Source organism: Homo sapiens, chromosome 2, assembly GCF_000001405.40.
Source record: "Homo sapiens chromosome 2, GRCh38.p14 Primary Assembly".
Taxonomy (NCBI): domain Eukaryota; kingdom Metazoa; phylum Chordata; class Mammalia; order Primates; family Hominidae; genus Homo; species Homo sapiens.
The window spans coordinates 57,766,903-57,789,530 of NC_000002.12; the positions used below are offsets into that span (position 1 = coordinate 57,766,903).

Sequence of the window (22,628 nt, forward strand, 5' to 3'; positions counted from 1 at the left end):
TAGGTGTGCATTAGGTTATTTTTATTTTATTAAGTTAGCATAATCTGCAGAACTAGGATGGCAAATTTAAGCCTGCTCAGGCTAGGTGTGGCTGTTCTGAGACTCATCATGCCCCAAACTGATCCCACACAGTAAGATTTTTTTCCCACAGGGAAAGGGAAAGCATTTGTAGCTCTGGCGTGCTTCAACAGTTTTCATTTCTCCAATATGGAAATCATGGCATATGATACCAAAATTGCATTATCCAAACCCCATTGCAAATATGTTCTCCATATTTTTATCAGAAATAAAGTTTCACAAACCCACCAAGTGGTACAATGGATCGACATTCCTCTTCCTCTTTCATATTAATGGATTTTACTCTGTCCTATCATAATAAACAAAACACCAGTATAATAATTAATAACTAAGCTTAGGCCTTCAGCGTTTTCCAAGATCTCTAAACAATGAAGATACAGCCACAAACAGCAATTTGACCTACTAAAGAGATTTTGAAGAGGGACAAAAAGAGCAGTATTTCCACTTTAGACAGAACACTTCATTAAAAACAATCCTCAATAAATATTGAAACAAAGGTACTTCTTTTTCCTTTATCAGCAACCCCCTCATCTTTTACTCATTGGTATGTTCAATGACCAGTGTGTTTGCAGTACTTATACCTACTCATGTTCTTTCTTGAGTGCTCAAAAAGATGATCACAGAACAAGGTCCTCAATTACAATAAATAGAACACTACACATTTAGTACATGCCAGAAAAATGGACTGTAATATTAAATCAAATGAGATCAAAATTCAATTCAGAAAAAAATATGAAGCACCAAGCTAAGCATCAGCTCTATTATTTTGCCAGTGTGTAAAAGATATATGTTGATATTTAATGAATGCATGAGGAAAATTTGTATCAAAATACTAAAGGAAGGCTAGTACAATGCACATGGTTCTTATCAATGTGAAAACAGCAGAAACTCTTACATGTTTCATCAAAGTTCAAAATGTTTTACAACATGCTCGAACTAGTCTAAATAGATTCCCTGTTTTTGGTGTAAATTCAGAAAGAAGTTATTTCTTAGATCTAAGATTTAAACTACTTTGGAAATAAAACATGAAGGTAAGAGGGTTGCCAAAAGTGCATATATGTATAGGAAAAGACAGACAGCTTCCACTCTCATTGCCCATTAATCTTACACATTCTATATGTAAGTATAGAAAAACTCAGTCTCTTTGGCATTTGGAATATTCCAATAATGGACATAATTAGAAATAAAAAGGTAAAGTAACTTCAGGGTGGCCACATAACAATTTTCTTCTTCTTATTATTATTATCTTGAGACAGAGTCTTGCTCTGTCACCCAGGCTAGACTGCAGTGGCGTGATCTCAGGTCACTGCAACCTCTGCCTCCCGGGTTCAAGCAATTCTGCTGCCTCAGCCTCCCAAGTAGCTGGGACTACAGGCATGTGCCACCACATCCAGCTAGTTTTTGTATTTTTAGTGGAGATTGGGTTTCACCATGTTGGCCACGCTGGTCAATTTTCAAAAACTACAAACACATACAATAGATGTACCACTCAGATTTCTCAATGGAGACTTCTTGAAATTTTGAATTACAAGAAATCTCTCCCATTATTGAGAATGATTACTCATGATTTTTTAAATCCATGAAGTGAACAGATGCTGTTTGCACATTTTTATAGAATTATTAGAATAGAGATAAATAAATTGATTGGTCAAGGGATTGCATCCTTTATATTGGAATAAAGACTATAATTAAAGGGAAGTCTATGTTAAGGGTCATGACAATCAAAATAGTATCTCAATACATTTTGGAAACAAAACAAACAGGACTGTCAGTATGATGCTAGTACACTCTTATATGAATATCATGATTCTTTCTGAAGCACATTGGTAGAAGTGCCAAGATTTCAATACTTAATGTATTCTAAAACAGTACAGATTAAAATATATTAATATTTTAAAGATTACATATAATATGTGTGTGTGCATGTGCGTGTGTGTGTGCATGTTCCTCTGGAAGTAGGGAGTAAAGGCTATGCCTTGTTTTCCCAAATAGCTTACTTTGTGCCTGTGTTTTCAGGTCTTACTCTTTCAATTCACAGATGAATAAGCACTAGAGTTTAAGAGTGGAAGGGTGCAACACACCAATACCAATCTGGGCCACACTTACCATTATATCTATATCCATGTAAAATGTTTTAAAGTCCATCTTATTTGAAAAAAATTAAAGGATCTATTTTGAGACTGTTTACCAAGTTGATATCCTGGCACATAACAGGTGTTCAACAAAAGCTTATGGAGCAAGGAAATGAACATGCCAACCCCAAAGAGTCACCTCTTCATTGAAATGCTCACCTATTTAGGTTGCATTCTTCCTTTCCTGGACCCTCCCTTTAACAGCTAACTCATCTTTCTTATCAGTTAGTGAATTCCACTCTAGACTTTACTACACGTTTCTTAATAAATAGTCCTCGAAGTAAAAAACAAAAAACAACTAGCTGACAAAGTAACCCAAATGGTGGTATCAAAGGATCTGTGGAGTTCATCTGGAATAAGAATATAGAGCCAGGTGACCCTTAGCCACCCCAGATGTCATCTCTTGTGCTCTACCGTGCTGAAAGCTGCACCTAGCAGGGAGAGTCAAGAGGAAAGTGATGCCATCGCTGTAGCAGGCAATGTAGCAGGTTTAGGTATCTCTTACCAATTCCTTTCTTTCTAAGTAAAATAATTTTTAAGTTTCAAACTTTATTTTAATGAAAATATTTTGGAAACTGGATAACAAGTACCAGAATAATAGATTATATAATTTTTAGTTTTATAGTATGGTAATAGCAAAATGTTTTAGCAGTATACTTTGACGAAATAAACACCCTAGTAAAAGGGTCAGATTGCTAAATGGTACAAGGAGGTCTAGTGGAAGCCCAAATGCCCTTGGCTTGATTTTCAGCTCCAGCAGTTACATGCTGCAAACTGTGTCTCTGTTTCCTTACCTCTAAAGCAGACATACAAGTCAACCTCAAAAGTCTGTACTGAGAATTCTAAAGGTAATATATATAGCTTAATCTAGGTATCCTGCAAATGTTAGACTCCTTTTCCTTGACCCTCTCTCATGCAGCACACACACACACACACACACACACACACACACACACACAGTGCACTTCATTTTCTTCTTAAACAAGATACAAATAATGAAACTAATTTCCCTTGACTTTTCCAGCGAAGTTATGGTAATATATTATTTATAATACATAACCACAAAATAGTATATGCTTTGTCCACATGTTGAAACTTTACTTCTATAGAACACATAAAATGTAAGTTTTCATCATTTAGGGAGAAAAGCTTTCTAAACCACATTTTTTCTTTCCCTAATTTTTAATGATATTATAAATCTGATAAAATGTATGCGTACTTATTGCAGAAATTTGAAAAATATACAAAAAAGCACAAAGAAAACAAATGAAAGTAATTAATTCCCTAACTCAGAAACCATTATTACTAATCTTGATTTCCTTTCTATGCATTTGAATTGGATTATCCACTACATCCTGTTTTGTAACCTTTTTACACTTATTAATGTTCTATGAATATTTTGAATGCTTAAGTATTTTTAAACATTCTATATAATATAAATATCATTTTAATGGCTGCATATTATTTTATCTTGTGGTTATACCACAAATTGTTTAATCAAAGCCATATTGTTGGACATTTGAGGTTGTTGCTGTGGCCATTGTTTTTAAGCAATACTGTTAGAATAAACTGCTATGTACCCATCCATGACCCAGCTTCAACAATTATCACCTCATGGTCAGTCTTGTTTTATCTGTACCCTTACGAATTCCCCATACCAACCTCAGATTATTTTGAAACAAATCCACTCATTATTTCATCTGCACATATTTCACTGTGTGCCTTTAAATTAGACAGTGTTAAAAATCCTTCATCTTTACCCCTTCTTTCTCCTTCTTCCCTTTCCTTCCTCAGACTGTTAATATCAACATCCAAATAAGATCCATACACTGCAAATAGTTAAGAGGTTCCTTTCTGTGTTTTTCCCCTTGCAATTTATTTGTCAGCAAAAACACGAAGAAAAACAAACAAAAATAGGCCAATGAACCTATAGTATTTCCCATGTTTTGGATCAGTGTCATTTACCATGCTCCTCTATCAACTGTACTTCCTAGAAATAGAGTCTTAGATAAGGAATTTTGTCCAAATTTTGGTTCTACGTTTTGGCAAGAATATTTCATAGATGGTATGGTATACTACCCTCAGGTGGTACATAATACAGGATTGTTTACTTTTTTCTGATGTTAGCAGCCATTGATGATCCATGCCTGGATCCATTAATTTATCAGCATTGTACAATGGTGATATAACAGTTTTGCTAATATAAATAACACTACATAACTAAAATATTATAGCTGAATATCTGGGCACATCTATATATATGTTTATTTTTTAAAAATCCTTAAAAATATCTGAATCAAAGTGTATCAACATTTGGAAATTTACATTACCATACATATTGTCCAACTATCCTCTTAGGAAGTTACACTAACCATCATCTCAGTGTTGGCCATTAGTATTGTTTTAAGTATTTGCTCATTGCCAAGAATAAATTCATTGTGGTTCATTTTCAAATACTTTGCTTACCAATAGGATTAAACATACTTTATTTAAATTTAAATTTTACTTCTTTTGTGAATCGGCACCCTTGTTCTTTGATCATTTTTCTGTTAGGTGTCTTTCTTTTTCTTTTCTTTTTCTTGGTTCCCTTACGATATTTGGTTAAGTGTTCTGGAAACTATCTCTTATGAGTGAGATCTATTGTGATATACAAATGCGTACCTATAACATTCAAGTATTCTGTATGCTATGTTAGCCCAGCCTAACATTTTATCCAAGATTCTGGTTGAAAATGGCAAAGCAAACATCTGCAAGACATGCTGAACATGATGTTCATACTATTAGGAATAGAACTTTAATATGCTACAAAGAGGGACTGAGGTAACCGGGCTAGTCTACCATTATGCTCAGCAAAGGATTTGTTTTACTCTTATAATTTAAACATTAAGCCGATTAATTTTCTAATGGTTTTATGATTAAGAAACACAAAACATTATACTAAATACCGTGGCCATAAAAAATTGTCATATTCCCATATAAAAATTATAGATTCATTTATCTCTAGGCTTTGCAAATATTCTTTTTTCCACAAAGAAAAAAACAGCAATTTTTATTATGAAGCACTTAAAAGGTAATAAGGAAGCTATCACAGTAAAAAAATTATTGATATATAGGTTGACTCTTGTCATTTAAGATTCCTGTAGCTAAACATACCATATGCCTTAGAACAGGCTTTATGCTAGAATAAATACTTATAGATGCAGCCATGCACATTCAGTCCAATTTTCTGAATACATTTCCCTAAAAAGGTGATACAAATCATTGCAAGTCTATAACTGACATACTACACTTTATATAATCTAAGGCCAAATATAAAATTTTATAAGTAATCTTTGTAGGAGAGGTAGAATGTTGAGCCTACATCAGTGGGGAAAACATAATATTTATAATTGAATCAAATAGCTAAGAAACACAATTAGGTATCTGCCACATCAGTATTCACATTTGTGCATTAAGATCATGCAAATGGAATTAATTATTGCTCAAGTCATTTAGTTACAAGCGGTAGCTAAACTCAACAGTTTTCCAATTTCAAGCATATATAATATGTAATAGAAATAATACAGTTCATAATGAACAATGGAAAGAGAAGAAAAGTGGGAGAGAAGGAAAAAAAGGGAAGACCAGAAGAAAAAGGGGAGAGAAGAAGGAAGGAAAACTTGCCAAGAAAACACTTTTCATTTCAGAGAAAATCATCTTTCCATTATAATAACCACAATGCCTATTTTACTATAATCAGTTTCATAACTGTCTTTTCAGTTAAACATCAAATAAGTTCACATTTGAATTTTAAGATAATTCTTGTGTAGTGTCTAAGTAAAACCCAAATATTTTACATTAATTTCCTCAATAGATCACAAATTGATACAATTTAAAATGTAATCAACATTCTAAACTATTGCGGATCATGAGGTCAAGAGATCGAGACCATCTTGGCCAACATGGTGAAACCCCGTCTCCACTAAAAATACAAAAAATTAGCTGGGTATGGTGGTGCACGCCTGTAGTCCCAGCTACTCAGGAAGCTGAGGCAGGAGGATAGCTTGAACCCGGGAGGCAGAGGTTGGAGTTAGCTGAGATTGCACTACTGCACTCCAGCCTGGCAACAGAGCAAGACTCCATCTCAAAAAAAAAAAAAAAAAAAAAAAAAGACAGCACAAATTTTTCACCTTCTTAGAAACGCAAAATCTTCCTCAAGAAGGGTTATTTTGCTTCAAATTCTATCGAGTTGAGTGAGGAAGGCTTAACTAGGCCTTTATTTAAATGTGGGCATTATTTAAACTTTCTAAACTCCCGAGAGAGTAACAACAGGGCCTACCTCACAGAACTGCTATACCTTCACACATGATGACATAGATAAACTTAGTGAATATTCGTTATTGCTGTCATCTCAATGATCATCATCATTATGTCATCAAAAGTGTCTGGGAATTTATATATCAAGAGTTTCCCATAAAAATAGTTAACCTGTAAAAAACTTCCACTCACCTAGCAAGGATGTCTTATTATACAGTATATCTGTCTTAAAGTAATTTTTTCAAATGAAAGCCAGTGAAATCAGTGGTTCTCAGTAAGGGGATAAGTTTGCCCCCCAGGGGATAATTGTTAACGCCTGGAGACATTTGTATAGGGGTAGAGGGTAGGGATAGCGGGGCTGGGGAGACTACTGGCATCTTGTCAGTAGAGGCCAGGGATGCTGCTAAACATTCTACAACGCACAGGACAGCCCCACTGCAACAAAGAATGATCAGGCCCAAATTTTAATAGTGCCAAGGTTAAGAAACCATGTAGTAGGGTCACCATATTCCTAATAAAGACATTCACCAAAAAATATTCAGGCCTTCACTAAAACAAATAATCTTGAAAGTCTCCAATGTATTTTCCTAATTTATGTTTAATACCAATTGCATTAAAATCTACTGTTTCACAAAGCTTAGTTCCATAATCATAGTTGTATTACCCACTAAGAGTATTCACTTAAATATCCATGAAGTTATCATTCCTTTCTTGTATAATCTAATAGCTTATTTATACCTTTTGGGGAAATTCTTAAGAGGCACTAGTAATTTTCTACATTTGATATTTTAATATCTAGAATGTATATTTTTATCTTATTTCACTAGGAGAAAAAATACGCCATGAATACATTAGCCATATGAAAAAGACAATGAGGTTTAGTAATTAAAATTGAAAAGGTAAAGAACTATGCAGTAATTAGAACACTGATTAATCAACTGATAATTTTATCTTGATTAATGTTGCTGATTTCTCTTCTTATTGACCTAGGTAAAGTAGGTTTAGACCAATTAAATATAAATTATTCTCCTCTTTTTACATTCTGGTGGGCAGCTTCCAGTATTCTAAGTCACACTACATTTAAGAAGTACCATTGAAATGCTTTTACTAAATTGGGCAGTTCAACAAAAGATAGAATTAGGTTTATGTTCCAAATATACTGATGCTTTTACCTCAGGCTAAATTATACAGAGCTGGTTTATTTCAATATTACCTAGGGAATATTAAAATTAGAATAAATTATTATTTTTGAAAAATCCTCTGAAAACACTCAGTTAAACAGCTAGGTATATATTTTACTAAGTCTAACGTGAGAAATCAGAAGGACTCAAATTAACGAATATAATTAGTATCACATGTAGGGTCTCATGTCATGAAAGTCTGCAGCTATGCTAGTTAATAGAACAAATTCTGGTATTAAAAAAATAACAATCATTAATTCTTAGCCAATCAGTTTTCTAGAAGAGATCCCCCCTAAAAAAAAAAAAAGAAAAAACAAATATAGAGAACTATTGTTGGAGATTCCTGAATTCCATAAATGTGTATCTTCAGTAAAGCCCATTTTTTAAAATCCTAAGACCAAAAAAAAAAAAAAAAACAGCTACAGCTAATAAATGAAAATTATGATTTACAAAGAGTGAAATCTCTCTTCTTGTCAATTAAGTTGATTATACTCAGGTAACAAAGACATTTTGATAAAGCCAAGCAGTTAAGATATTGTTGCAGTCTGTAATTTGCTGCATCTTGCCCTCATCTTCTAATGCAGGATCCAGTCTCATCCAACTAGCAGTTCTTTGATAGATCAGCTGGTAGAAAACCAGCTTCCTCTACCCTTCTCTGCTATCCCCTTTCCCTATGTGTCTGGCCCCATATCTCCAACTACTGCTGAAGCTCTGGAAGTGCTAAAGCTGCCCAGTTTTCAGTAGATGAATGTCTTCATAGGTTACTGCTTGAGAGGGAGATGTCAAAGCAGGGCTTCATGTACTGAATCTTAGAAAATCTCCTTTACATACGTATATCACATATGTAAGATTATATATATATATAATTTAGTGTTTCTTTAAGGCCTCAGAAGGCACATGAAGATGATTATAATAAAAAGAGCAACCACAAACAACAGCATCACCTAACAGTATATGGGCACTTGCTCTGAGGCAGGAACTTTGACAAAGGCTGACATTTATTGAATCATTAGTCCTCAAACAGTCCAATGAGCTGGAATCTATTTTAGCCTCCTTTCATAGTTGAGGACTAAGCCACAGAAGGATAAAAAAGGAGAATGCAGGACTGATGGGAATTGAACTCAAGGATTCTGACTCCCCTGGCTCTGATTTTTGGTTGTTTGGACTCTGGATTTTAGCAACATAAATACCATATGAGAAGAGGGAGTTATTTATCCATTTTATAGGTAAGTATAGGTACGTATATGTTCAATAGGTATATATTTATGACTAATAGTGATTTAAATAACAATGACTAATGTAATTATTGATAATGCTTTACTGTTTATAAGTACATAAAATACATCCAGGGTCCCAGTGAAATTTCACAGTCATTGTTAATGATAGGAAGGTTGATACAGAAAGGGCTTCCCCATTAAATGCTCGGGTGGAAGACTGTTTTTAAAATTATCTTGGATTTTTTTTAACACAAGGACCATCTATTTAATAAGTTTATTCAATATATCTAGCCTCTTCCCAACCCCTGTTCAAGTTGCTATATTTGATACTAATGGTTATCTGTTCATTCACACATTTGACAATTCCAGAAGATAACAGCAATGAATAAAACTGTCCTCATGGAGCTTACAGACTAATTACATAAAGTAAGAGCTAAAACTGATGACAGTGAAAAACTAGGAGCATTTTATTTGTAAGTTCTTTATAGAAGTCAGAGAGTTGGTGTCTGATCTGAAATGTTTAAACAGAATTTCAACTTCAATATTTTAAGAACTTTTTAAAACTATTATAGTTAATCTGACACATGGATAGCTCTTGGTAATTAGCAAAGTATTGGCTTTGTCCCCAAATCCCTGTGATTTAGGTCAAATTTTTGGCCCTGTTTTACAGAGGAAGAAACTGTGGCTCAAAGAAAATAGGCTACTTTCCCAAAAATACAAAATGAGTAGAAAATCTAGAACTGAAAATGTAAGATGTGCTGGGCAAACCAAACAAATAAAATACTAACAATAAACATACATGCACAAGATTATATGATAAGGAGCCATGTGAACAAAGCTCATTTATTCTACAAATGTTTACTCTGTCTAGTATGCAGCCACATGTAATATGTGGTCTTCTATTTGCACCGTGATGATTGAGTAAACATTCAACTGAATACAGAAGTGAACAAAAAGAGGCAATGCACAGTTACAGCATTACAAACCAAGACAAGGTGTGAATCCATGAAAGTATCTGGTATGCCTAAGGAATTATGACTCCTGAGGGTTACTAAAGCACAGGGTCAGTGAGGAAGAAATGTTAAATGACAGTCAGGACTGTATACTGAAGGATCTATGGGAACTGTGCAATGAATATGCACTTAATTTTGTAGGCTGTGTAGAACCATTAAAGGTTTTAAATGGAAGATGTGAATTTTGTGCGATATGATTAATATTGTAGGAAATTAACACTGTCAGCACAATGAAGGAAGGATTGGCAAGGTGAAAGCTCTCCAATTTGCTTATCTCCTCCGAGGCTCACAGTGTGTGTGTGAAGAACAGATAATAAGTCCACATGGCTGAAGGGGAGAGCAACTGGAAGACAAACACAGGAAGGAGAGACTGGAAAGTTAGATTAGGTCAAGACTCTGCAGGACTTGATTGTTAATAACTTAATCTTTCTTTTATAGGCAGGCTTTATATCACTTATGATCACAATTATATTAGTTGTCCATGTGCATTTCCCTCAGTACCTAGCAATGGATCACTGGCTTGTACCTGTGGTAGGCAAGCGGTACATTTTTTAGTAATTTTATATATAAGGCTAAATCTAATCAAAACTGATGAAGACACAGGAATTTCTGTAAAAACATAAATACGCATTCTGAAAAAAATAACCCTCAAGTTCTACAAAATTGGACAATAAAAATAAAAATTGATTTTAAGGGAGAATTTTAAGATTTTAAGGAAAAAATTATTAGGGGCACTAATTATAATCTATGAAACTTGTAAGTTGAGCTCACAATAAAATCATTCTAATTTTAAATATTTTCACAGTTTAAAAGACATGTTAAGTGACTAATAAGTAAAGAAATACTACAGTAAATATGAGACTTCACTTTTAAATAATGATGAGTAAAAGTGGCTTGATGGAAGAGAGTGTAGGAAAAGCTGAAGCTGCTGAATTATATAAAAAACAACAAAACACACACTGGGAAAACTGCTCAATTAGATCATCCAAAACAGGATATGGTTAAATTGAACCAGTAAAATAACTTGCAGTCAATAGACTATGTCTCTATGTTTTGCATGTTCTGCTGTGTTGGCTTCACTTTGAGTCTAAATGCGATTACAAAATATGAATTGCAATATGAACCTACATGATTCCATCTAAACAGGTATCATTCCCATGTTTACAATAGTGTAAGAGCTAATTAACTTTACAGAAGCACACTTAAAGCAGGATAGACTATAACTGGAATTACTGAAAGAATCTTCTAACATCAACTATATGGACATTTTTTAAATAAACATACAATGAGGAATATTTATAACATATGAATAATATGTGAACAAAAAAAGCAATAAAACAAATACCCACACAGTCCCCATCCAGTTTTTTAAATAACGTTTTTGCTATTTCTAAGGCCACCTCTCTGGTCATATCCCCATCAGCACTGCACACTTAGAGGTAACCATGATCCTGAGTTTAGTCCATGTTATGCCTTATTTATTATCTTAGTAATATTTTGATTTTGCATATTTTATTTTTTTATAAATGGAATTATATTGAAAATAATCTATGCCTTGGTTTGTTCACTCAATACTATGCCGTTTAGACTTCATAATATATATAGTTGTAGCAAGTCCATTCATATTGCCTTATAATATTGCATTTCATGAATACATAAAATTCACTTATCCATTCTACTGACAATGGATATTTGGGATATTTTCCACTTCCCTTGCTACTATAAACAAAATATTTATTCATGTTATTTTTCATATCTACAAGTACACTTGTAAAGAATTTTTGTTGGATAAATTCTGCTGGATTGTAGGGAATCTATATGTTCCACTTGATTATATGATACAGAATGATTTCTAAAGGGGTTCTAACTATTTTCATTTCTGAATACATTTTATAAGAGTTCCTATTCTTCTGCATTTCTACCAGCACAAGATATTGAAGACTTTTAACTTCTACCAATCTGTTAACTGTAAATGGTATTTTATTATAATTTCAATTTGTATTTTATGACAGCTAATGCAGTCAAACATTTTTTGTTCGCTTCCTAATCATGCATCCTTTAATGTGAAATGCAAATTTGTCTTTACTTTGGTATTAGTTGTCTTTTACATATAAATTTGTACGATATCTTTGTACATTATAGATTCTAATATTTTGTCAATACGTGTGTATGTATATATTTTACATGCACATTCACACATATATATAGTTAACATGTTCTTCACATTTGTGGTCTATTTTCACTTCATGATATCTATCGAAACAGATACATATTTATGAAGTCAAATTTGCCTTTGTTGTCTAATTCTGTTTTTATTTAAAACTTCTTAACCCCAAGACAAAAATATACTCTCCTGTATTGTCTTCCAAAATTTTAGAAATTCACATTTTAATAGGCTTTTAATAAATGGAACTAATTTTTGTATATATTGTGACAAAGAGTGAGGCAAGTTAGGTTATTTTTTTGCCCCCATATTGACAAGCACCTGTCTCAGCACACCTTATTGTACTCGGTACTTTCCCTCACTGACATGTCAGTGGGGTCTTAACGAAAGTGTTGGTTTCTGGGCTTTCTCTTCTGTTCCCACTGGCCTATTTGTCTAAACCTGAACAAACAACATAAATCTTAACGATTCTAACTTTATAATAAGAATTTATATTTGGTAGGGCGTGTCCTCCATCCTTACTGTTCTTCTGCAGGAGTGTCTTGGCTTTTCTTGCTTTTCCATACACATTTTAAAATCACATTATCCAAGTCCACATTGAAAAAGATAAAACTTTCAATATTTCACAATTTATTTTGATACTATTTGATTTAGAAACCTGTTATGTGGTTAAGAATTTTTTTCTACCTGCTTTGCTAAAATTTTAATCATTATTATTGAATTTTATCAATTAATTTTTCTGGATCTACAAAATAATTGTTTTCTAATGCTGTGCCACCTTTCATTCCCCCTTTTTTTTAGAAAAAAAAAAAAGCTACTTAGTTTTGATACAATGTCTATACATTCTTAGATTTATTCTGCTAATACTTTAACTTTTTAAACCTAAGAAATAAGGCTATAATTATTTCTTACACCGTCTCAAAAAATAAGTTAGAGGGTAGACTTCCTTCTTCTGTCTTCTGAAATAATTTTATAAGATTGGAATTTTCAGTTCCTTAAAGTTTTCGTAAAAGATCCCAACAAAATTGTGTGGCAGTGGTGATACTTGAAGAGAAGATTACTGATTCAAATATTTAATGGATATGGACATTCAATTGTTCTATTTCTTTTCACTCTGTTTTGGTAATTTATGTTAGGAATTTAACATTTCACATGGTCTCAACTTTGGCAGCATAAAGATGTTCATAATGCCCTTTTCAAATCACTTTAAACTGCTGAACTTTTTCATTTTTGATTCATTCTTAATACTATTTATTTTGTCCTCTTTTGGGCTTTTGAACTCTCTTGCCAGTCTTTTTAATGAACCAGCTTTGATCTTTTTTAACACTCATTTTCTTCTTTTTGTATTATTTTATTAATTAGACCTTTATGTGTGTTATTTCCTTTCTCCTATTATCTTTGAACTTATTCTCAATCCTTTTCTAATTAAGACATTAGAACTTGATCAAATTTGGCTATTTTTCTATATCTCTCATGGTCATTGGGGATAGTATTCCCTATACATCTCTCCCACAAAAGTTGCCCACATTGGCAGGACGTGGTGGCTCATGCCTGTAATCCCCGCACTTTGGGAGCCCGAGGCGGGCAGATCACGAGGTCAGGAGATTGAGACCATCCTGGCTAACACGGTGAAACCCCTCGTCTCTACTAAAAGTACGAAAAATTAGCCTGGCGTGGTGGCGGGCGCCTGTAGTCCCAGCTACTTGGGAGGCTGAGGTGGGAGAATGGCATGAACCTGGGAGGCAGAGATTGCAGTGAGCCGAGATTGTGCCACTGCACTCCAGCCTGGGCGACAGAGCGAGACTCCGTCTCAAAAAAAAAAAAAAAAAAAAAAAAAAAAGTTGCCTACATTATGTTATTCAATTCCTCCTGGTCTGTAAATTCCTAGAGACATATATTCAAATCTGGTACACCTGCCTTTTTTTTTTTTTTTTTGTAGTTTTATCAATTTGGGCTTTACATATTTTGAAGCTGTAGTTTTAAGTACATAAAGTTTAGAACTTTTATATCTTGCTTAAGTGAAACTTTCGTCAGTATGTTTTGGCCCACTTTATATCTAAATTATCGTTTTTTGGCCCGCCCGGCATGGTGGCTCATGCCTGTAATCCCAGCACTTTGGGAGGCCAAGGTGGGTGGATCACCCAAGGTCAGGAGTTCGAGACCAACCTGGCCAACATGGTGAAACCCCATCTCTACTTAAAAAAAAAAATACACAAAAAATTAGCCGGGTGTGTTGGTAAGCACCTGTAATCCCAGCTACTCGGGAGGCTGAGGCACAAGAATAGCTTGAACCCGGGAGGCGGAGGTTGCAGTGAGTGGAGATTGCACCACTGTACTCCAGCCTGGGCAACAGAGTGAGACTGTCTCAAAAAGATAAAATAAAATAAAATTATTTTTATACTGCCTTAAGATCTATCTTATCTTATATAAATATACCTATCCCAGATTTTGTTGGTTAATGTTTGCCTGGTACTTTTTTTTCACTACTTAAGTTTCATGCTTTTTTTTTTTTTTTTTTTTTTTTGAGATGGAGTCTTGCTCTGTCACCCAGGCTGAAGTGCAGTGGCACAATCTTGGCTTACTGCAAGCTCCACCTCCCGGGTTCACACCATTCTCCTGCCTCAGCCTCCTGAGTAGCTGGGACTACAGGCGCCCGCCACCACGCCTGGCTAAGTTTTTGTATTTTTAGTAGAGATGGGGTTTCACCGTGTTAGCCAGGATGGTCTCGATCTCCTGACCTCGTGATCTGCCTGACTTGGCCTCCCAAAGTGGTGGGATTACAAGCGTGAGCCATCGCTCCCGGCCGCGTTCGTTTCTTTTAGGCTAAGATTTTTGTTTTTTAAAAAAATGTTCCTAGCTTCTAAACAAAAAGTTTAAGCTGTTTTGCTTTTTAACTGAAAACTTTCATTCATTTAATTAGTTGTGCTTTCTATTTACCACATTTTTTTCCACTCTCTTATTACCTACTTTAATGACTTTTATACTGATTTTTTTCCTCACTACAATTTTCCTTCTAATAACCTGAGGGCTAGATACACATTTTATCTTTTAGTAGTTCTTTAGACATTTTAATAAGCAAAGGTCAGGCACAGTGGCTCATGTTTGTAAATCCAGCACTTTGGGAGGCCAACATGGGAGGATCACTTGTGTCCAGGAGTTTGAGGCCAGGCTGGGCAACATGGCAAAACCACATCTGTACAAAAAGTACAGAAATTAGCCCAGTGTGATGGTGTGTGTCTGTAGTCCCAGCTATTTGGGAAGCTGAGGTGGGAGGATCGCTTGAGCCTGCGATGAGGAGGCTGCAATTACCTGTGGTCAGGCCACTGCACTGCATCCCAGGTGGCAGAGGGAGACCCTGTCTCAAAAAAGAAAAAAAAAAGAAATTTTAATAAATATACTTAAATTAAAACCTGAAGATAACCAATCTTTTAAAATTCTTTCCAAACTTTACAAGAAACTTGGAACGCTTTAACTCTAATTGTTTCCTCCAAATATTATTTTGGGGCAGTATTTCGGTTAATTATTCCCTCAAATTAGAATTCTACACACTTACCTTTTTTTTTTAATCTTAGACTTTCAAAATGGGATTGCTTTTCTTCCTGAAGGACTCATTTTAAAATTCTCTTTGGTAAGAGTGTTGGTAGTTAATTCTGTCAGCACATATTTATCATCAGTTTTCTTCATATTACTTCATTCTGAGTGGACAGTTTTCTGGATGCATAATTCCAAGAAGACAATTATTTTCAATATGCAGATACAATTCCACACTTTCCTCTACCTTCTATTACTATTATTGCAATGTCAGCTGTAATGTTTGTGTGTAATGTTTTTTCTTTGTGTGTAATGTTTTTTATTCACTGAGCAGCTTTTTAGATCTTTTCTATACTTTTGTCTTCTGCAGATTCATTATGAATCTTCAAGTTTGGGGTTTATTTTTATGTATCCTTTGAGACTTCTGTATCTTAATTAAAAGTTAAAAATTTTCCATCAGTTCTGCAAATTCTTTCCCATTATTTCTCTAAATAGTGCCTTTTTGACATTCTAACCTTGCCTTCTGAGGGTCCAGTTAGAAATATGTGAGGTTTTTTCTATTATTACATGTCTATCCACTTGTCTTCTTCTGTATTTTCTATCCTTTTGTCCTTCTGAATTATTTCTTCAGATATTCCAGTTCCCTCATACTCTCTTAGCCTCTGTATTGTTTGCTACTTAACAAATTCTTTAATTTTTTTTAAAATAGTGATTTTATTGTTAAATTTAGATTTTTCAAATCTGATTTGATAGTCTATTTTTCTACCAATCTTCAAATTCTTTAGACATATTAATCTAATTTTATGATTGCATAAATTTATTTTGTTAAATTTCTACTGGTTATTATTGCTATTATTTTTGTTGGTTCTCATTCACGGTGATTTATCTCCTTGTTTGTATGTGGAAGTTTTATTTTTTTGATTATGCACTCACTTCCCTTGTAACTTTATCTTTAGGAATTCTATGAAGCCTGAATTGAAAGTAATTTCTTATAAAGTGGATTTCTATTTACTTCCAGACCATTACAAATGAGGTACCATTTTAAAATAAATCCTTTACATGAGTTTTTTCTATTTGTTTGGTTATTGTTTCCACAGAGATGTTTTAACTTGGGTCCAAACAAGGCCAGATTGTATTATAAAATTGCAAAGATGTTTCCCACCCCTTTCTACCTACCACCAAAGTTTTGTATAAGAAATTTATCCTGTTTATGGAAGTTTATTTCTAGTTCACCCTTAAGCTAAAAGTGCAGCCTTTTAGGGTACCAGAGTCATGTAACAGTCTCCCAAAAGACCTTACATCTTATGTAGGCAGTAGATTTGTTTCAAGTCTTGTGTACCCTGCCGAGACATCAAAATCAAAGATCAGCTTCACTGTAGTCATGCAAAAGCCTCCTAGGCAAAACCCAACTTGATTACTAGCTTATCTATCTTCGCCTATTCCCACCTTCAGTTTATTGCTGGAGTCGGAGGAAGCCAAAATTTCTTGCTAGCTCTACTATGCAATTTTACAGTTTTATTTTATCTTTAAACATTTTTACGGGAGTGTGGTTCAGGGTATCTATTCTGCATATTATCAGAAGGGAAATGAAGATTATTTTTCCTTTTCATTGTTTTATCTTATAAGTCCCCCCATTGGTTTACCTGATATTGCTGGATGAATACTGAATGAATTTTGTGTGAAGAAGTAGATGACCCAATAATCACCTTCTCTATATCATCCCTTAACATCATGGGTTTGAGGGCTAATTGGCAAATATTTTAGGTTTTACAATTCATATGGTCTCTATCCCAGCTATTCAACTCTGCCTTTGTAATGCAAAAGCAGCCATATAAGATACCTAAATGAATGTGCATAGCTGTGTTCCAGACAAACAGGTAAAAATATTTTATTTACAAAAACAGGCAGTGAGTCAGATTTGGCCTATGGACTTCAGTTTGCCATCCCATGCTCTCTTTATACCATCATAGTTTTTTTACTGGATCCATTTAAGTGATGAACAGAATCATAATATGATGAAGACATTTTATGAATACATGCAACTGGTAAGACATGAAATGTTTAGGCCCCCAAAAAATAAAGAGAAAAAATTCAATCTATGCATTGTCTAAATAAGTAATGATAAACTCCCACTGCTACACGAACAACAGAAACAACAAAACTCTAATCAGAAGAATAATGTCTTGGGAAATAAAATAAGCATTATGAGCATGTCTCTGAAATACACAGACATACTGACTCTCTACACTGTACATCAGTTTTTAGGAAAACAAAGAAAGTAAGAGGACATATCCATCTCCCCAGCTGCCTCCCAAGGGCTCACAATCCAAGAAATTCTTCAGTAATATCTCATTAGTGATAAAGTTTGCATCAAAACTCACATGGTATCATACACATTGTATTACATTTTTCAAAGAACATAACACTGTGTATTGGAAAATAAGTGGAAATTACTTGGGATTGGCTATAATATATACCCTTGAACTGGGCAATACTTAAGTGATTGTCAGATGGCAAAATTGAGACTAAAAAGCTTACTCACTTGAAAATGACTCTTGTTGGTACTCCACAAAATAGAACTTTATAAATGTAGCGCTACGTATTTGTCTAAGAGGTAAGGCATCCCATGGAGCATGCTTTATTAGTTTGGTCATTAACCTTGCTCGGGCCTTTCAAAAATTTTAGTTATAAATTATAAAACATAAGGAAACATCTAAAGTTTATAATACAGAGTTTTACTTTACTATCAAAGACCATAAAAAATAGAAACTATTCATCTTCATGGAGGGCCAAAAATACCCAAATATGACAAAAATATCCAGAAGGATGTTACCTTCCCAGCTGATATTCTAAGAGAATAAATGCTTAAAGTATTGGCTATGGATAGCTGTTCTTTTTAGACATGTTGATCAACTTCTGTGTTGAAATCATATGACATTTGCTAGTTTGAAGAAAAAATAAGAACCACTATTCTAATACAGTAGTATTCAACTATATTTCAAAATAGTTCAACATTTTATATCAAATATATATACGTGTGTGTGTGTGTGTGTGTGTGTGCGTGTGTGCACCTAAACTGGGCAGAAATGAGATCAGCTTTTTTTGTTGAAGCCTGAACTGGCAGTTAAACACTACCCCAAATCGTGTTTTCTGCTTCTCTCCAAATGGAACTCCTGGCAATGCCTATGGCAGAAGATGAAACACAAAGATGAGAGGCACTATCCTTGTTTCTCTAGACTCAGATACCTACACAGCTATCATATACACCATTAACGTCAAATTATTAAAGGATCCTACCTTTCATAATAAAAGAGGAAAAATATATTTTCCTTCTACCCTTCTAGGTTCTCAGCTTGGGTCTTTCTGTAACCAAAGAAACATTAACATGAGAAAAGCATTTGCTTTACTTGATACTTACAAGATGTTTAATGTTTTTACTGTATTGCAATTTTACTATTTCATGTGTTTTACCTATTACTTTATTTATGGAGAAGTAAAAGTGTCAATACAAGAGTTTTCCACACTTTCTACTCAAGGAGGAGTCTATGAACCAGCACAGTGCTTTTTATCTGGAGACTTAATAGGAATGCAGAATCTCAGGTCCAGTCAAAACCCACAAATTCAAAATCTGTATTTTTTATTAAGAAGATCCAAGTGATTAAAACACACTGTCCTTGGTGATAGAGCATTGATACTCACTGTCTTTCCAATGCAAACACACATGCGACTAATAATACACTCAATGCCAGTAGAATAGAGTGGGAAGTGTTATGTGGTTTAGAAAAAGCCAAGCCAGGCATCCTGATATACCTTCTCACAAACGTATTGATTACTTTTCCTTTTCAATTCCTTCAAAACAAGGATCACCTTTCAATCCATAGCAGTTATCATGTTTTAAATTTACTAATTTAGTGAATGCTTGGGATTCACTCACCAGTGATTTTCTCACCAGATCAATAAACCTGTTCCTCTAAAATCAAAGCAGTATCTTCTAGAATAATTTGACCTTCTAAGATATGAATGTTGAGTAATAAAATTTCCTCACAAAACAAAACTCAAGTGAGTTACTAAAGTAGTATATTGTTACTTAGTCAAATCCAGAATAACTCGGTCACTATATATAAAAACATTAACATTAAAAATAATTATGCTAACCTAAGATCTTAATACAATTCAGTCCTTCCAGTGAGCCCAACTTGAATACTAAGAAGGAAGTCACTAGGAAGCTATATTCACAATATAATCTTCTAAAAGAATTCATTTTAATTAAAAACCAGGTGGTCCTGAGTTTTCCTCTAAGGCTCTATGTTAAAAAATCCCATTGATCATACATTCTATAATGAAAGATCCAACTATAAACCTGGAGGAAAATGGAATAGATGAATCAAAATATTCTCCTTCTAGTTAATATAATCTTGGTTTCCAGTAGGGGTTTATAATTATAACACTGAAAGTAGAAACCATGAAGCACAAAGCTGGTAAGTTTGTTAATTAAAGATTTTAAAAAATTTCTCTCTATAAAAAAATCTACATAATTCAAAGGCATATTTACCTAAATATAAATGTAACCTTTATAAATAATGAAAAGATTAATATATCAAAGGAAAAATTGGGAGAAGTGATATGATTAGGAATTTCACCAAAAAATGACCAAAAACCACAAAATAATGTTTGTCACTTTAATAATCAAAAAAAGCGAAGTAAAAAAGTAAGATATTGCCAATCATTTTTACTGACATAAAATTCTAACTATACTAGCCAGTGTTTACAAGAATTTGCGAGTGCTTACTCTGATGTATTACTGGTAGAAAGGTGAATAATTTAGCAATATGCAGCAAAAGTCTGAAACATTTGCACACTTTTTAAACAGCAAAACCAACCTTTCCAAATTTACCTTTAGAAATAATCTGATCAGTGTGATGATGTTCAATATGTAACTGTTAAAAAAGTGTAAGCAACATAAGTGCCCAGTAAGACAGCTCATTTGAATAAGCTACGGTACATCCATGCAGTGTAACAAGATGCAAAGATTTGAACGTAATGAACGTACAATGATATGAGAAGTTCAAAATACGTTAAACGGAAAAAACAAAAAAAAGTATACATTATGATCTCTTTTCAAAAAAAATGTGTAAATGGATGGATAGCTAAATGGATGAAGAGTGACATACAAAGTAAGTACATAGATGGACAGATCAAGCAATAGGTACAGATAGGATAGATAACACAGACTGGAAGGATATTCAACAAAATCTCAACAACTTCATTTAAATCATTGGTGTGTTTATGGGTACATATCTAATTCCTAGTTAAATTGAACTTTTTAATATGTTAAAAATTATCTTGTAACTTTTCTAATCTGTACTTGGTCCACTTTTCTATTAGGATTTTAGCATTCTAGGTGTCAACTTATATGAATTCTTTGACCATGAAGATGCAATGTCTCTGAAATAGTTGCTGCTAATAGTTTTTCTAGGTTATTTTCTCCAAGGATGTTTTTTCCATTCAAAAATTATTACATTTTTATGTAGTCAAACCTATGGTTTTCCCTTTTTAATTTTTTTATTTTTAATTTATGTGGGTATAGTTATATATATTTATAAGGTATATGAGATGTTTTGATATAAGCATGCAATGTGAAATAAGCACACCATGAAGAATGGAATATCCATCCCATCAAGCATTTATCCATTAAGTTACAAACAATCCAATTACACTCTTTAAGTTATTTTAAAATGTTCAGTTATTATTGACTACAGTTATCCTGTTGTGCTAGCAAATAGTAGGTCTTATTTATCCTATTTCTTTTTGTATCCATTAACCACCCCCACCTCTCCACTAATTCCCCACTACCCTTCACAGCCTCTGGTAAACATCCTTATATTCTCTATGTACACGAATTCAAATATTTTTGATTCTTAGATCCCACCAATAAGTTAAAATATGTGATGTTTGTCTTTCTGTGCCTGTCTTATTTCACTTAACATAATGACCTTCAGTTCCACCCATGTTGTGGTAAATGACTGAATCTCATTCTTTTTTATGTCTAAATAGTACTCCATTGTGTATAAGTACCACATTTACTTTATCCTTTCATCTGTTGATGGACACTTAGGTTGCTCCCAAATCTTAGCTATTGTAAACAATGCTGCAACAAACATAGGAGTGCAGATACCTCTTCAATATACAGATTGCTTTTCTTTGAGATATATATGCAGCAGGAGAATTGCTAGATGGTATGGTAGCTTAATTTTTAGTTTTTTGAGGAACCTCTAAACTGTTCACCATAGTGGTTGTACTAACTTACATTCCCGCTAACAGTGTACAAGGTTCCCTTTTCTCCACATCCTTGCTGGCATTTGTTATTGCCTGTCTTTTGGATATAAGCCATTTTAACTGGGGCGAGATGATATCTCATTATAGTTTTGATGTGCATTTCTCTGATAATCAATGATGTTGAGCACCTTTCATATGCCTGTTTGTCATTTGCATGTCTTCTTTTGGGAAATGTCTATTCAAATATTTTGCCCATCTTTTGACCAGATTATTAGATTTTTTTCATATAGAATTGTTTGAGCTCCTTATATATTCTGGTTATATATCCCTTGTCAGAGGGGTAGTTTGCAAACATTTTCTCCCATTCTGTGAGTTGTGTCTTCACTTCGTTGATTGTATCCTTTGCTGTGCAGAGACTTTTGAACTTGATGTAATACCATTTGTCCCCTTTTGCTTTGGTTGCCTGTGCTTGTCGGGTACTATTCAGTAAATCTTTGCCCACACCAATGTCCTGGAGATTTTCCCCAGTGTTTTCTCATAGTTGTTTCATGGTTTGAGGTCTTACACTTAAGACTTCAATTCATTTTGATTTTTGTATATGGCAAGAGAGAGTAGGGGTCTAGTTTCATTGTTCTATATATGGACATCCACTTTTTCCAGCACCATTTATTAAAGAGACTGTCTTTTCCTTTCCCCAGTATATGTTCTTGGCACCTTTGTCAAAAATGAGTTCACTGTAG

The 22,628-nt window shown here is 33.8% G+C and overlaps 1 long non-coding RNA gene across 1 annotated transcript; it reads right to left on the reverse strand.

The window, feature by feature from the left end:
- Window positions 1-14,587: 14,587 nt before the first annotated feature.
- LOC105377628 (uncharacterized) lies at window positions 14,588-22,174 on the reverse strand. Its single transcript, XR_940110.3, has 3 exons — window positions 18,910-22,174; window positions 15,635-15,792; window positions 14,588-15,436 (listed from the first exon to the last, which is right to left on the reverse strand). It is a non-coding gene; the product is annotated as an uncharacterized LOC105377628 (long non-coding RNA).
- Window positions 22,175-22,628: the final 454 nt, after the last annotated feature.